At 37.3% G+C, this 18,086-nt stretch overlaps 1 annotated feature.

Moving 5' to 3' along the window:
- Positions 13,887 to 14,472: an enhancer, noted in NCBI's record as "OCT4-NANOG hESC enhancer chr3:107195157-107195742 (GRCh37/hg19 assembly coordinates)". NCBI's record gives its function as "activates a minimal SCP1, AML or CMV promoter by ChIP-STARR-seq in primed H9 embryonic stem cells {active_cell/tissue: H9 hESC(primed)}" and the evidence as "EXISTENCE:reporter gene assay evidence [ECO:0000049][PMID:30033119]".

Raw genomic sequence — 18,086 nt, 5'->3', positions numbered from 1 at the left:
GGGAGGGGCGGTCACTGATTATATTAGACGGGTTGCACAGACCTCTCTAGGCATCCAACTAGGTGAAGGTTCATTAAGCTAAAAGAAAATAAGACAGCAGCTATGAAGACTGACATCTGTCTGTCTATTACACCATGTGCTGTTATTGAAGCTTTGTGTTAGTTCTAAATCTTACCTTTTTAGATTTAAAAATAATTTGAGGCCACACCTCATAACTGGAATCCCAGCATTTTGGGAGGCTGAGATAGGAGGATTCATAGAGCCCAGGAGTTCAAGCCCAGCTTGTGCAACACAGTAATATCTTTTCTCTAAAAAGGAAAAATAAGAAAATTAGCCAGACGTAGTGAGTCATGCCTGTAGTCCCAGCTACTCAGGAGGCTGAGGTGGGGGGATTGCTTGAGCCTGGGAGTTGGAGGCTACAGTGAGTTATGATCACACCACTGCACTACAGCCTAGGTGGCAGATTGAGGCCTTGTCTCAAAATAAAATAAAATAAAAACTTACATTTCTGGGATAAACCCCTCTTCGTCATGATATAATATTATTTTTGTACATGGCTGAATTCAACTTGTTAATACTTTCTTGAGAACGTTTGAGTCTGGAGTGATACTGGTTTGTAGTTTTCTTTCCTTGTAATATTTGTATGGGTATAATAGTAGTGCTATCTTCATAAAATAAGTTGGGACATGTTCCCTCCTGCTTTATTTTATTAAAGAGTTTGTGTTTTTTTAATTTTTTTTTTAATATTCAGTAGAATTCACCAGTGAAACCATCTGGACCTAGAGTTTTCTTTGTGAGAACATTACTTAAATTATGGAATTCTAGTTATTTAATATATATAAGATTATTCAGATTTTCTGAATCTTTTTTGTCAGTTTTGTTCATTTGTGCCTTTCAGGGAATTTGTTTATCTAAGTTGTTGAAATTATTGACAACAAAGTATTGATAATTTTTCTTTATTATCTTTTTAATATCTATAAGACTTGTGGTAATGTTTCCTCTTTTATTCTTGATGTTGGTAACTTGAGTTTTTAAAACCATTTTAAAATAATTTGAATAATTATATATATTTCTATATTACATAATTGAAAATAGCAAGAAGCAAACTTGATGCAAATGTGGCTTAACTACTAATGAAAGTCACATTTGTAGATTTAGTACAAAGGAAATCTAAGAATATTGGGGTTTCTTGGAGTTAAAAGGAATTAACCTTTAGTCAATCAGTGATAGTTATATAGACATGGCCATGATAACTCAAAATAGGATTCTTGGTGGTAGTCATTACATGAATAAATGGATAAATACATGTCTTAATTGCAGAATGAAATAAAATAGATTGATATTACATGGATATTCATGAAATTATTTTCCTTGATCAGTCCTCATTGCCTCATGCATTATCTCTCTAAAATACAAATGTGTTGTTGTAAATCCCCAAATTAAAATTTTTAATGGGCCAAATGGCTCATGCCTATAACCCCAGTACTTTAGGAAGCCAAGGCAGGAGGATCACTTGAGCATAGGAGTTTGAGAACAGAGTGGGCAACATGGTGAGACCCTCTCTCTACAAAAGAAAAAAATTATCCGGTCCTAGTGGTCCATGTGTGCCGGTAGTCCCAGCTACTCAGGAGAGTAAGGTAGGAGGATTGCTTGAGTCCAGGAGGTCAAGGCTGCAGTGAGCCACGATTGTGCAATAGCACTCCAGCCAGGGTGACAGAGTGAAACCCTGTATCAAGAAAACAAAGACATTTTCAATCATTTCTATTATTCAATTGAATGCGCTGTGGTGGCATATAAGGCTTTTGATACCATGATCCCATTTTATTTACCCAACTTTATTTCATACCTCTTTCCACAATATATTGCAGCCACCCTAAACACAATTCTTTCACTAATTTAATTATTTTGCCTCACTTCCCCATACTTTTTCATGTTGCCCCTCTATTATCTGAATTTTTCTTTTTTCTTTCAAGGCCAAACTCAAAGGTCATGTTTATATGAAGTTTTTCTTATCCCACTCCCAGTATAATTAATGGCTTCTTTTTCTGATCTTCATGGCATTTGCACACCCCTCTAGTCTATTACAACACATGCCACAATTAGTAAGGTTTAGATGTTTAAGTGGCTGCTCCCTAACAAAATAGAAGCTCTTTGAGGACAGTAAGTGTATTATTCATTTTTGTCTCCCAAACTTCTGGCACAATGCTTTGAATATTGTAGGCACTGAACAAATGTTTACTTAGTAATTCATAGTCCCAAATCAGTCTCACTCACAGGATAGATGAGAACAATTTTATAGAGGAAGATGCTGTTCTTTGGTCTGGGAAAACACCAGCAGTCTGGATCACTTCATTTATCAATATGAGTACTTTTTATCACAAAGGGGAACAATCCAAGTCTAAGTTCAGCTGAGAAAGGATGATCATTTTCATGTACAAAAGAAACTACAGCCATCAAAACAATTTTAAAATAATTGGAGGTTATACTTAGCTGCTGGATGAACAGCATGAGTATACTGTTAATTTTGCAGGTCAACATTATGACCTCAGATGTGAGTTTTCAAATGGATTAATACTGCATTATAAATATAATCCTAAGAATGTGCTGGGAAATTGCTACAAGGTGTACTGGGACAGAGACATGATAACATCATTAAAGCCTACCAGCACACTAGATAGTCTCCTGTTTGACAAGCCTCATAAAATTGTGGTACTTATTAGTATTCCTCTTTTACTAAGCACAAATATTACAAGAAATACACAGAAAGCAAGCAAATAAATAGGTCAGATTAAGGAGCAAAAAGAAAAATAACATTTACAGCACATCGAAGTAATGCAAATTAGCATCTCAGTGCCTCTATTTAATTATCAGTTGGTGTTTAAGGATATATACCAAGTTAAATATTTTAAGGAACAACATTCATGATGCTTGTGTTAGTTCCAAATATAATGTTTCTGAAAATAACAAAGCTTTTTCTTCTTAGCATGATAAATTATTATAAATCACACAAGGGTATGGTTTTCCACCTCTTATCCACACAAGCAAAACTGAAAGATGTGATATACGCCTATGAGTAATAGTGGTTCATTACAGTACTTATAATGCAGTCTGTCTATACACCCACTCCCATCACATTGAGAAGAATTGTAATAGGGCATGTTAGTGATGACACCATTTATTCTCCTTATACAGCCTTCTTGAGGAATTTGACCCTCCACAATGTTGGAAGAAACAGAGGTTTATATCACGTATTCCCTCAGCAATTGTGCATTAGATGCTTGAACCAAGAATGCAATCAGCAGCTGTGTTAATGGCCACAAAAGCTAGATGTGTAAGGTTGTATAGCAACTGAGGCCATCACTGAGGGGTATTAATTGTGAGTCATGTGTGTTCGATAAGCAGGTAGGGAGCACTGAGGTAAGAGATCATGTGATTTTGGAAAGTGGGAGAGATGGAAACATAATTGGCTGTGGGCTCTGATAGCTTTCTTATTCTCAGTTCATTCCAGTTGTAATACTCAATGATTCTTCCTGCCCTTGGATTCTGTGATTTCCTTGGTTTCAGCTTTCTCCAGAGTGCATCTCTTTTTTACAGTCATACAGTTCTTAAGCATCAGGACAGAGAGTTAAAAAATAAATTAGTAAATGCCTATGTAATTGAAAATTTTATGATCTGATTAATCTGGGAACTATAAGTACAGTTGATCTATTAAAGTACTATCAACATACCAAGGTTGCCAAATATTTTGAAATATTTATTCTTTTTTTATTTTACTTTTTTTTGTTTACCTCATTCTACAGTCCAAAGCCAACATATTTATTCTTTATTGAGGTTTAGGAAATAAGGATTTGGAGTTCATAATATTCCTTATTTCAGATCACCTTTCGGAGTGGCTTTTCTAGGAGTTGACAAACATTTTCTGTAAAGGCCCAGATGTAAGTTTAGGCTTCATGGACCATTGGTTTCTTGCACCTTCTCAACTCTGCCATTGTGGTGTTGAAGGCGCTGTGGAAGCATCCATAGGCAAGTAAATGAGTGAGATGAGTTTCAATAAGACAGGCAGTAGGTTACATTTGGCCTTTGGCTGTAATGTGCTGACACCTGGACTAAGCAGTTATGAACCTCTAGGCTTAAGCAACTTCAAGTTTTAATATTAATTCTTCCAGTGATTCCCTGTGACCTAGGAAATATATTCAGTGTTTAATAGACTCAAGTTTTTTAGTTTATAAAATGACAGTGTGATAATTTTAATTGGCCTCATAGAATTTGATCGAGAATATTTAATTAATCAGACCAAATGAGATTAACTACAGTAAAGTAGTGAATACAGTGCCTGGCATGGAATTTATTTAAGAACTATTGTCTGTGTTAGACTTTGTTCTAAACATTGAAGATATCAGGAAAAGAAAAAATAAACAAAAGTAGTAAAGAGTGCCGTTGTTATTTGTGAGAGGGAGATGGAACATTGAAGAGAAAGACGTTCCTAAACTCTGTTCATTTTACTGACCAATCACCTATTAAATAGGAAGCCTTAAAAAATTTAAAATACTGGTAAATTAAATTTACAGCCAGGAGCTATAAGTATCCCCATAACAAGAGGGGAAAAAATAAATCACACTGTAATTGCTAAGAAATATAATTTGGCATGGTGTTATATATAAAAGATTGTTTAATATGTTAGGAAAATATGTTATTTGCTTCTTTGTTAACATAAAAAAACTACAATTCCAACCTGTCAGTTTAGATTCATTCAGGCCTGAATGAAAAATCTTACCACTTGTCTGCTAGATAGAGTCTAGTTAAATTTCTAATAACGTCTTGACTGGTGAGACTAAAGATATAAAAGGATCAGGAAGCCACATCCCTCCCTTCTGTGTTTCTTCCAGAAAAAGGTCAAGGATCGAGTGGCTGAGAGCGAGGCTTATATCATTGTTCTCTTAACAAGTCTGAAGTTATCTTCCAGACTGCAGATAAGTAGATTATAAAGGAGTGATCCCATACACTGTAGAACAGCAAGCCTCCTAGGTCCAAGATATCCTTACCCTATGTGCTTTAAAATTATAGGGTTCTTGAAGCATCAGTGTATTTATCTGGCATTTATTAGAGTTCAAGCCTCCCTTGTAGTCTTTGCAGCATCCCCAGGGAAGAATAGAGGAGGTGGGGGAGAAAAGGAGGGAAAATAATTTTCCTTTCGAGAAAGAGGAAAATTTAGTCAAAAGATTTAATTTCTGATGGCAACCATAAACCACTCTGTCCTGATGGTGAATCCCTAGATTTTGGCTGTGGTCAGCCCTAAAACATTCACCTGATGGGCTGACCTGGCAACTGTTGGGAAACACTCTGAAAGGCTTTGCTGCTTGCTTCTTTCTCCTCCACTTGGAAACTCAAATTACTCTCAAAAGAGGTCTCTGGCAAGCTAGACTCCAGGCCCGTGTACCTGATCCAAGCCGCTTAATCATCTGGCCTGGAAATTTAAGATGCATATCCCTGGGGCCTACCCCAAACCTACTGAAATAGAAGCTTTGAGCTTTATGGGAGGTGGTGCCTTAGAATTCAAGAACCTGCATTTTTTAATAGATTCCCCAGTTGATTGTTAAGCAAAGTAAAAACAAAGGTTGCCTTCCTTTCCAGAAACACTTTTGTAACTAACCCTTCTTCACCACACTGCTTAATTCTTGTCATTATAAGGGTCACCATGTCCAAAGTGCTGCTGTCAAGAGGCTGTGTCCTGAACTTCTGGAGAAATTTTCATGACCAAATGATATTAACAGTGATGGAGCTGGTCTAAGGAGTTTTCTTAAATCAAGATGGGCCAAACTGGACAGGATTAAGCAGACAGGGTTAAGCTGTTGAAGTTCTGTATGCTGTAAATGGGGTTTTTAACCTGGGGTCCACAGATCCTCACAAGAATCTTACCACTTGTAAGGTTCATGGACGGGAAAAATATGTTTACAACTTTATTTTTACTAGTCTGTAACTGAAAATTAACATTTCTTTCTACTATGAATTTGGCAATAAACCACACTAGTGTTAGCAGTACCTATGACTCTGTCACCATTAGAAATCACAGATATATCTGTTACCACATTTAAGTTGTTATGAATAGCTTAAAATATCATTTACATTCATCACAACTTCAAATTACAGTTGTTTTTAGACATGCCACTAGATCTTTTTAAAAATGTAAAGGAAACACAAGATATTACCCTATCACACATTTAAAAAATATTTTGATAACTGTAATTCAGTATAGTTGGTTGCCTTTGTAAGCTCATAATTTTATTATATACATTGAGAAACATTATTCTGAGATGTAGTCCATAGGCTTTACCTTTCTCAGAATAATTTTCTAATGGTATATTACTATATGACATAATATATAACATACATTATTATATGGCAATCATAAATGATTGCCAAAGAAGTCTATGGAATTTAAAAACCCCTGTTCTAAAGGAATCCTAAACAATCAAGTGGCTTTTGAAATAATAGAAGTGAGTGTTGCCTTGTTTTTTCGTTTTTTTGTTTTTTGTTTTTCGTTTTGAGACAGGGTCTCCCTCTGTTACCCAGGCTAGGGTGCAGAGGTGTGATCTCAGCTCACTGGAACCTCGACCTTCCAGGTTCAAGCCGTCTTCCCACCTCAGCCTCCCAAGTAGCTGAGACCACAGGCATGCACCACCACTCCTGGGCAATTTTTGTATTTTTTGTAGAGACGAGGTTTCACCACGTTGCCCAGATTGGGGAGCCACCCACCCGCGTCAGCCTCACAAAGTAATGGGATTACAGGCATGAGCCACTGCGCCTGGCCAGCATTGATTTCTGTTGGTTTAACTCTGTGTTAATTGTCATCACTAATATACTGGAGGCTTCCCAAGTACTACCTAAACCTCAGACTAAGGACAAAAGCTTCTTTATCCTTGTCCATTTAACCAGTTTCACAGTAACCAACCCTGTCAGCACGTGGAATCTAACCCCTTGTAGCCCTGACTGGTGATCTTGATACTGTGTACCCTGTAGCCCTACTGTAGTCTAGCTGGCAATTCTTTGGTTCTTTATTTAATCATGGTCTTTACTCAAAAGTGCACTTTGGCTTCTCCTGTATATGAAGCATTCTGCTCCTTATGGAAAGGAATAGAAATGAAATATGGGGTATGTTTTCTAGCAGGACAGTGGTCCTCATGCTCCGATACTTGAGGTCCTGTGATTGGGGTTAAGTGCATGAACATGAATGCCTAGGTTACTTTCTTTTTTCCTGCCACTTACTAGCTGAGTGACTTTGGGCAGACTGCTCCTTGTACCTCTGTTTTTCCATCCGTAAAGTGAAGATCATATATGGGTGCTTTCAGGACAGTACTTACTATATAGTTAGCATGTGATAAATATTAGTTATGAAATATATAGAATTCAGGTCCACAGCCCAAACTCCTGACTCAGAATCTCTGGAGGCTTGGCCATGTGCATTTTATCAAGCTCCACAAATGATTTTGATATACTTTAGGGTAGTGTTTCTAAGCCTTTCATTATTTCCCCCCAATAAGATTTTTTTCCTCTGATTGCCACCCCCCTCATGAAATTTGCTTATTAAATTTGAATGGCATAGATATATGGTACCATATATCTGTTTATGTACTTTGGCCATTTGAAGGCTGACAAAACCATGGTTACTATTGCACTCCAGCCTGGGCGACAGAGCGAGACTCTGTCTCACAACAAACAAACAAAAACATGGTTACTAAGATTTTTGTACGGCCTCCCCACCAAGAAACAATTTTAGCCCTCCCCATTGAGAATGCTTTAAACCCGTGGGTTCTCAATCTTGGATCCATATTAGAGTGAAATAAGGAAGCTTTAAAAAAACACCCATGCCGGGGACACACAACCAGACCAGTTAAATTAGAACCTCTGGGGTGGTCTTTTTAAAGATCCCCAGATGATTCTGATATTCAGCCAAAGTTGAGAAACACTGTTTTAGAGTTTGAGATCCTCTTACAAGAGATTAAAATCTGGTTGGCAAGCAGGACCTACAAACATGATCATAAACAATGCAGAAATGTACGGAACAGTGAGTGCGATAGAGTTCAGAAAAAGGAGAAACGAATACAGGGTGTTCTGACTAGGAGAGGCTTTGCTAGCTGGACAGACAATCTGGGCAGTATTTTGAAAAGAGAATGAAAAAGAAATTTTTAATGTGGAAACAACAGAGCCAAAGGTATAAAAGGACATAGGGTGCTTGGGGGAGGCAGTAGATTGTATGGTGGCCTCCCAAAAGACAGGTCCACCTGGAATCTGTGAAGGTGACTTTATTTGGAAAAAAGGTCTTTGCAGCTGTAATCGAGTTAAGGATCTTGAGATGAGAGCATCCTGGATTAGAGTGGGTCCTAAGTCCTTAGAAGAGAAGACAGACAGGAAGAAGGCCATGTGAAGACAGCGGCAGAGTTTGGAGTGATGTGCCTTCCAGCCAAGGAACACCAGGATTGCCTGCAGCCACCAGAAGCTGGAAGAAGCAGTGAAGGATTCTCTCTAGACCCTTCAGACGGAACAGCTGCTGACACCTCAATTTCAGAATTCTGGCCTCCAGAACTGTAAGAGAACAAATAACTTGCTTTAAGCTACCTAGTTTGTAGTCATTTATTACAGTAGCCTTAAGAAACTAATACAGGGGACAATATGGAAACCAATCTGATAGAGTAAATGAATTGTATTGAGTGAAAAACAAATCTGGAACTATAGTGTGGGTCCAAACAGGAAGGCTATTGTTTGCACGTCATATTAGTGAGAGTTCTCCAGAGATGTGGAATTAACAGGGTATATATAGAGATCTATGAGGAGATTTATTATGGGAATTGGTTCATACAGTTGTGGAGGCTGATAAGTCCCACAGTCTGCTGTCTGCAAACTGGAGAACCAGGAAAGCCAATGGTGTCATTCAGTCTGTGTTTGAAGGGCTGAGAACTGGGGAGTCAATGGTGTAAACCTGAGATCCTGGGGAGCTCTGATGTTTGAGGGCAGGAGACGATGAATGTTTCAGCTCCAGAAGAGAAAGCAAATTTGTTCTTCTGCCTTTTTGTTCTATCCAGGCTTTCAGTGATTGGATGCTACCCACCCACATTGGTGAGGGATCTTTTTAACTCAGTCTACTGATTTAAATGCTAATCTCTTCTGGAAACACCCTCACAGACATCCCAAGGAATAATGCTTTACCAAGTTAAATGAGTATCTTTTTAGCCAGTCAAGTTGACACCTAAAATTAACCATCACACACAGTATAGTGCCTGCAATGAGAACAATTAGAGGTCTGGAGTTAAAGTGCCACCTGATGAAACCAATGTCACTAGAAGATTAATCTAGTAATTAATGCTATATAACCTGTAGGAAGTAAGTAAAAATAGGGAAGCCACCTACAATTATAATAAAATTAGATAAGGTAAATAAGGAAAACCTGAATGAATAATATGGTTTTTTTTTTTAGAGAGGAAAAGAAAGAAATGGTTTCATGCAATAGAATTTACAGGAAGAATAAAGAAGGCCTTGGTGCCTCATCTGTATGGCCAAGAAGAGGAGGAATGCTTCAAAAATGACTTTAATCTTTGAATTTGGCCAGGCACAGTGGCTCATGCCTGTAATCCCAGCACTTTGGGAGGCCGTGGTGGTAGGATTGCTTGAGTCCAAGAGTTTGAGACCATTCTGGGCAACATATCAGGACCCCTGTTACTGCAAAAAAATAAAAAAGAAATTAGTCGAGTGTGATATGTGCCTGTAGTCCAGCTACTTGGGAAGCTGAGGTGGGAGGACCCCTTGAGCCCAGGAGGTCAAGGCTACCGTGAACCATGATCACCCACTGCATTCCAGCCTTGATGACAGAGGGCAATCCTGTCTCTAAAAATAAAATATAAAAATAAGTAAGGTTTGAACTTGAGCAAATAATGTACATTAGATCTAAAATCAAAGATAAGTTAGCTTTTAATAATTTATTTTAAAATTTAGGGTTTTTTTTTTAGCAACTTTATTGAGGTATATTTTACATATTCACCTATTCCAAACATACCATTTAATGATTTTTAGTAACTTTACCAAGTGGTACCACCATCACCATAAATCAGTTTTATAACATTTTTGTCCCCGAATTGGATCCATTATGCTCATTTATAGTCACAGCTCATATAACCCTACTCCCAATTAACCACTATTCTACTTTCTTTCTCTATAAATGTATCTTTTTGAGAAACCATTTTAGATGAATGGGGTCATTCAATGTATGGTCTCTTGTGTCTTGCTTATTTTACTTTATACAATGTTTTTGAGGTTCATTCACCATGTAGCTTGTGTCAATGGTCTGTTTTTTGTTTTGCTTTGTTTTTTTTTTGAGACAGGGTTTTGCTCTTTTGCCCAGGCTGGTCTTGAACTCCCAGTCTCAAGCAGTGCTCCCACCTCAGCCTCCTGAGTAGCTGAAATTACAGGTACTCCACTGCACCTAGCTTAGTCTGTTCCCTTTTTTTGCTAAATAATATTCCATTGTAATGATATGCCACAGTTTGTCTATACATTCACCAATTGATGGACATTTGGGTTGTCTTTAATATATGCTGGCATAAACACTCTGGTGAAAGTTTTCATGTGAACATATGTTCTCATTTATCTTGGGTAGATACCTAGAAGTAGAATCGCTTGGTTGTATGGTAGTTTTATGTTTAACTTTTTGAGAAACTGGCAAATCATTTTTTAAAGTGGCTATATAATTTATATTCTCGCTAGCAATGGTTGAGAGTTCCTTTTTCTCCACCTGCTCACCAACATTTATTACTGTCTGTCTGCTAGCCATTCTAGTGAATGTGATATGGTGTCTCACTGTGGTTTTCATTTGTATTAGCCTAATGAGTAATGATGTTGAGCATCTTTTCATATGCTTATTAGCTATTCATATATCTCTGTTCATGTCTTTTGCCCATGGTTTGATTCGGTTTTTTGTCTTATTGAGTTGTAAGTATTCTTCATATCTTCTAGTTACAAGTCCTTTATTTTGACATGAGTTTTGCAAACATTTCCCCCCAGTCTGTTGCTTGTCTGTTTATTTTTGTTATGATGTATTTTGAAGTGCAAACGTTTTAAATTTTGATGAGGTCTAATTTTTCAATTTTTTTCTTGTAATGACTGTGCTTTTAGTGTCATATCTAAGAAATCTTTGCCTAATCCAAGGTCTTGAAGATTTTCTCCTATATTTTATTCTAAAAGTTGTATTTTTAGCTCTTACATTTAAATCTATAATCCATAATAATTTTTGTATATGGTGTGAGGTGAGGATCTAAGTTCATCTTTTTTGCATCTGGTTTGCATCTGGTCCCAGCACCATTTGTTAAATGTAATCTTTTGCCCAGTGAATTGCCTTGACACCTTTGCCAAAACTCAATTGACTTAAAATATAGAGATTTATTTCTGGATTCTCAATTCTGTTCCAGATGTATATGTTTATCTTGATCCTAGTCCTACTGTCTTTACAACTGTGACTTTATAATAAGTTTCTACATGAAGATGTGAAAGTCCTTCAACCTTGTTCTTTTTCAAAATTGTTTCAGCTGTGCTAGGTATTTTGCATTTCCACATAAATGTTTGGCTGTGCTTGATGATATCTTCAAAAATGCATACTGAAATTTGCATGCAATGTATAGATCAGGCTGGGGAGAATTGTCATATTAACAATACTGAATCTCCCATTCCATAAATATGGAATGTTTCTCCATTTATTTAGATCTTCTTTTTTTTTGAGACAGAGTCTCGTTCTGTTGCCCAGGCTGGTGTGCAGTGGCACGATCTCGGCTCACTGCAAGCTCCGCCTCCTGGGTTCACGCCATTCTCCTGCCTCAGCCTCCTGAGTAGCTGGGATTACAGGTGCGTGCCACCACGCCTGGCTAATTTTTTGTATTTTTTAGTAGAGACGGGGTTTTACCACGTTAGCCAGGATGGTCTCAATCTCCTGACCTCGTGATCCACCCACCTCAGCCTCCCAAAGTGCTGGGATTACAGGTGTAAACCACCCCACCCGGCCTTTATATCTTCTTTAGCTTCCTCAAAGTTTTGTAATTTTCAGTGTATAAATCTTGCATTTCTTTTGTCAAATTTATTCCTTAGTATTTTATTCCTTGTGATGCTATTTTGAATAGCATTGTATTCTTAATTTTATTACAAATTGTTCATTGCTCATATATACTAATCTATTTTCCCATCTATTACTTAATAAATACTTTTAAATCAATGGATTTACATGTGAATGAGCAAGAGGAAAATTTTTAGCCAAAGGAGAGAGAGAGAAGGAAGTAAACTTAAACATTTATATAGCACAAGTTTGGTATCTAGCAATTTAACATTTGTGAAGGTTCCTAACATGTATAGTATATGGTGGAGTTTGTTATTTTAAATAAATTGTATTGTGTATATTTAAGGTGTACAGCATGATGTCATGGGATACCGATACATAGTAAAATGGTTACTGTAATGAAGCCAACTAATATTAATATATTCATCATCTCACATAGTTACTTACATTTTTGTGGTAAGAGCAGCTAAAATATACTAACTTAGCAGAAATCCCAAATACAGTATAATTTTATTAATTGTAGTCCTCATATTGTACACTAGATGTCTGGACCTGTTCATCCTACATATCTGCTACTTTGTATACTCTGACCTACATTGCCCCATTTCCTCTGCCAGTAACCTCTGTTTTATTCTCTCTATATATTATTATTTTTTTTAGATTCCACATATAAGTGAGATCATGCAATATTTTTCTTTCTATGTCTGACTTATTTCATTTAGCATAATGTCCTCATATGATGGAGTCTGTGATGCATACCTCATGGTAGATGATTGTAAGGTTAAAATAGAATAGGATACATAAAGTTCCTGGCATAATACAAATCTTAAATGCTCTGGGGCTGGTATTCAGAAGTGAGGCATTTTACTCAGGAGTGAACTTGGTTTAGTGCTCACTGTTCCCTTATCAATCTGGGAAATCATGGGATTCTTAGGACTGTCCCTCATAAATATTGTGGTTCCGTAATACTTTTTAATTTTTTTACTTGCATCTGTCTCCCACTGTTTCTTTACTCTGGGTTTTCCTTTCCATTCTTTCCACTTAAGTCAATTCGAATGATAATTGTTAATAATTGGATTCATTTCAGGCCAAAATGTTTAGAAAATATTTTTGGCAGGGTTTAGTAAATTGATGCATTTCTTGATTGTGTTTCTTTATTGCCTTAACTGGAATAGCACTGACTTTTTTCATCTCATACCCCCTCTGAATGAGAGGAAAACCTGTTTATTCATTCATCACTCACCATCTCTTGAGTGCCTGCTATGTGTCAAGTCCTGTTCTAGTTGGGAGGTGGTTCCCCAGAAGCAATGGACAGAGTCAGTCTTTTGTCATTTTCTGGGTAGAAAGACATGGACTTTCCAGAGTAGGAGAAGGAACACAGCTAGTGGCCTCAGAAGACATTGCTCAGATTAGGATAAATAAGGGCCATGTGAAAGACTGCTGCTTCATTAAGTTCCCTCTCTGGGTTAGAGATTCTTTGAAAAAGTTATCACCATCTGGCTGATGTTTCTTCTCAAAGGCACCTCTGAGTGGTGTAAAAAATTATGGAATCAAGTAACAGCATATTTTCCAAGATCTCTATGAACTAAGGGATACTAGCCTAAGATTTTCCACTAATTAACTGTGTGACCTTGGACAAGTCACTTCACCTTCCTGCACTGATGAGGCAGGCTGAGTGATCTCTGAAGACTTCTCTAACTCTATATTCTATTTTCCAACTCTCCTTAAGTCCTTGGACTATGACTTTATAGGTGGTGGAGGAGGGACGTGACAAAGAAGGAAGAAATTTATTTAAATTCAGTTTTCAGGATATGGGGCATCCATATGTATAAGTGAGTTAAATAATTTGTTGGTGAGTATGGGATGTGGAACTGAACATTCATGGCTCTATCCCTTCTCTTTTACTCTTGAGAATAAATTGCTGGGTGTATGAATTCTGGTCAGCTTTTCCATGCCTGAAGTTGTTTCACAAGGTGAATTCTCACCTGGAGAGGTCTGTAGTTGTCTTCTTTTGCATATGACTTGGTGGATAAATTTGTTCAATTGTAGGGTTTAGCATTACAATGCCCATTGTTGCTCCTCATCTAAGCCATGTCTTTTAGCCTGGCCTTTATCAATGGTGGTGATGATAATGGTGATGATTATGATGATGATATAGGAGAAATATTGTTCTCCATTGACCTAATGTTCTTTTTTTTAATATGTATACTTTAAGTTCTAGGGTACATGTGCACAATGTGCAGGTTTGTTACGTAGGTCTACATGTGCCATGTTGGTTTGCTGCATCCATCAACTCGTCATTCACATTTGGTATTTCTCCTAATGCTATCCCTCCCCCAGCCCAGTGTGTGACGTTCCCTGCCCTGTGTCCATGTGTTCTTGTTGTTCAACATCCACCTATGAGTGAGGAAATGTGGTGTTTGGTTTTCTGTCCTTGTGATAGTTTGCTGAGAATGATGGTTTCCAGCTTCATCCATGTCCCTGCAAAGAACATGAACTCATCCCTTTTTATGGCTGCATAGTAGTATTCCATGGTGTATGTGTGCCACATTTTCTTAATCCAGTCTATCATTGATGGACATTTGGGTTGGTTCCAAGTCTTTGCTATTGTGAATAGTACCGCAATAAACATACGTGTGCATGTATCTTTATAGTAGCATGATTTATAATCCTTTGGTTATATACCCAGTAATGGGATGGCTGGGTCAAATGGTATTTCTAGTTCTAGATCCTTGAGGAAACGCCACACTGTCTTCCGCAATAGTTGAACTAATTTACACTCCCACCAACAGTGTAAAAGCATTCCTATTTCTCCACATCCTCTCCAGCATCTGTGGTTTCCTGACTTTTTAATGATTGCCATTCTAACTGGTATGAGATAGTATCTCATTGTGGTTTTGATTTGCATTTCTCTGATGGCCAGTGGTGATGAGCATTTTTTCATGTATCTTTTGGCTGCATAAATGTCTTCTTTTGAGAAGTATCTGTTCATATCCTTTGCCCACTTTTTGATGGGGCTATTTGTTTGTTTCTTGTAAATTTGTTTAAGTTCTTTGTAGATTCTGGATATTAGCCCTTTGTCAGATGGATAGATTGCAAAGATTTTCTCTCATTCTGTAGGTTGCCTGTTCACTCTGATGATAGTTTCTGTTGCTGTGCAGAAGATTTTTAGTTTAATTCAATCCCATTTGTCCATTTTGACTTTTGTTGCCATTGCTTTTGGTGTTTTAGTCATGAAGTCTTTGCCCATGCCTATGTCCTGAATGATATTGCCTAGGTTTTCTTCTAGGGTTTTTATGGTGTTAGGTGTTACATTTAAGTCTTTAATCCATCTTGAGTTAATTTTTGTATATGGTGTAAGGAAAGTTTCAGCTTTCTATATATGGCTAGCCAGTTTTCCCAGCACCATTTATTAAACAGGGAATCCTTTCCCCATTGCTTGTTTTTGTCAGGTTTGTCGAAGATCAGATGGCTGTAGATGTGTGGTGTTATTTCTGAGGCCTCTATTCTGTTCCATTTGTCTATATATCTGTTTTGGTACCAGTACCATGCTGTTTTGGTTACTGTAGCCTTGTAGTATAGTTTGAAGTCAGGTAGCGTAATGCCTCCAGCTTTGTTCTTTTTACTTAGGATTGTCTTGGTTATACGGTCTGTTTTTGGGAGTCCATGTGAAGTTTAAAATCATTTTTTCCAATTCTGTGAAGAAAGTCAGTGGTAGCTTGATGGGATAACATTAAATCTATAAATTACCTTGGGCAGTATGGCTATTTTCATGATATTGATTTTTCTTATCCATGAGCATGGAATGTTTTTTCATTTGTTTGTGTCCTCTCTTATTTCCTTGAGCAGTGCTTTGTAATTCTCCTTGAAGAGGTCCTTCACATCCCTTGTAAGTCATATTCCTAGGTATTTTATTCTCTTTGTAGCAATTGTGAATGGGAGTCCACTCATGATTTGGCTCCCTGTTTGTCTATTATTGGTGTATAGGAATGCTTGTGATTTTTGCACATTGACTTTGTATCCTGAGACTTTGCTGAAGTTGCTTATCAGCTTAAGGAGATTTTGGGCTGAGACAGTGGGGTTTTCTAAATATACAGTCATGACATCTGCAAACAGAGACAATTTGACTTCCTCTCTTCCTATTTGAATACCCTTTATTTCTTTCTCTTGCCTGATTGCATCGGCCAGAACTTCTGATACTACGTTGAATAGGAGTGGTGAGAGAGAGCATCCTTGTCTTGTGCCAGTTTTCAAAGGGAATGCTTCCAGCTTTTGTCCATTCAGTATGATATTGGCTGTAGGTTTGTCATAAGTAGCTCTTATTTTGAGATACATTCTATCAATACCTAATTTATTGAGAGTTTTTAGGATGAAGCGGTGTTGGATTTTATCGAAGGCCTTTTCTGCATCTATTGAGATAATTATGTGGTTTTTGTCATTGGTTCTGTTTATGTGATGGATTGCATTTACTGATTTGCGTATGTTGAACCAGCCTTGCATCCCAGGGATGAAGCCGACTTGATTGTGGTGGATAAGCTTTTTGATGTGCTGCTGGATTCGGTTTGCCAGTATTTTATTGAGGATTTGTGCATCGATATTCATCAGGGATATTGGCCTGAAATTTTCTTTTTTTTGTTGTGTCTGTGCTAGGTTTTGGCATTAGGATGATGCTGGCCTCATAAAATGAGTTAGGGAGGAGTCCCTCTTTTTCTGTTTGGAATAGTTTCAGAAGGAATGATACCAGCTCCACTTTGTACCTCTGGTAGAATTTGGCTGTGAATCCGTCTGGTCCTGGGCTTTTTTTGGCCAGTAGGCTAATTACTGCTTCAATTTCAGAACTTATTATTGGTCTATTCAGGGATTTGACTTCTTCCTGGTTTAGTCTTGGGAGGGTGTATATGTCCAGGAATTTATTCATTTCTTCTGGATTGCCTAGTTTATTTGTGTAGAGGTGTTTATAGTATTCTCTGATGGTGGTTTGCATTTCTGTGGGATCAGTGGTGATATCCCCTTTATCATTTTTTTTGTTTGTTTCTATTTGATTCTTCTCTCTTTTCTTCATTAGTCTGGCTAGTGGTCTATCTATTTTGTTAATCTTTTCAAAAAAACCAGCTCCTGGATTCATTGATTTTTTTTTGAAAGGTTTTTCGTGTCTCTATCCCCTTCAGTTCTGCTCTGATCTTAGTTATTTCTTGTCTTCTGCTAGCTTTTGAATTTGTTTGCTCTTGCCTCTCTAGTTCTTTTAATTGTGATGTTAGGTTGTTGAATTTAGATCTTTCCTGCTTTCTCCTGTGGGCATTTAGTGCTATAAATTTCCCTCTAAACACTGCTTTAGCTGTGTCCCAGAGATTCTGGCATGTTGTGTCTTTGTTCTCATTGGTTTTGAAGAACTTATTCATTTCTGCCTTTATTTTATTATTTACCTAGTAGTCATTCAGGAGCAGGTTGTTCAGTTTCCATATAGTTGTGCAGTTTTGAATGAGTTTCTTAATCCTGAGTTCTAATTTGATTGCAGTGTGATCTGAGAGACTGTTTGTTATGATTTCTGTTCTTTTGCATTTGCTGAGGAGTGTTTTACTTCCAATTATGTGGTCAATTTTAGAATAAGTGTGATGTGGTGCTGAGAAAAATGTATATTCTGTTGATTTGGGATGGAGAGTTCTGTACATGTCTATTAGGTCTGCTTGGTCCAGAGCTGAGTTCAAGTCCTGGATATTCTTGTTAATTTTCTGTCTCATTGATTTCTCTAATATTGACAGTGGGGTGTTAAAGTCTCCCAGTATTATTGTGTGAGAGTCTAAGTCTCTTTGTAGGTCTCTAAGAACTTGCTTTATGAATCTGAGCACTCCTGTATTGGGTGCATATATATTTAGGGTAGTTAGGTCTTCTTGTTGCATTGATTCCTTTACCATTATGTAATGCCCTTCTTGTCTTTTTTGAGTTTTGTTGGTTCAAAGTCTATTTTATCAGAGACTAGGATTGCAACCCCTGCTTTTTT

The sequence above is a fragment of the Homo sapiens genome, chromosome 3, assembly GCF_000001405.40.
Source record: "Homo sapiens chromosome 3, GRCh38.p14 Primary Assembly".
NCBI lineage: Eukaryota > Metazoa > Chordata > Mammalia > Primates > Hominidae > Homo > Homo sapiens.
The sequence above is the reverse complement of the archived record's forward strand: the minus strand, read 5'-3'. Positions and strand labels throughout refer to the sequence as shown.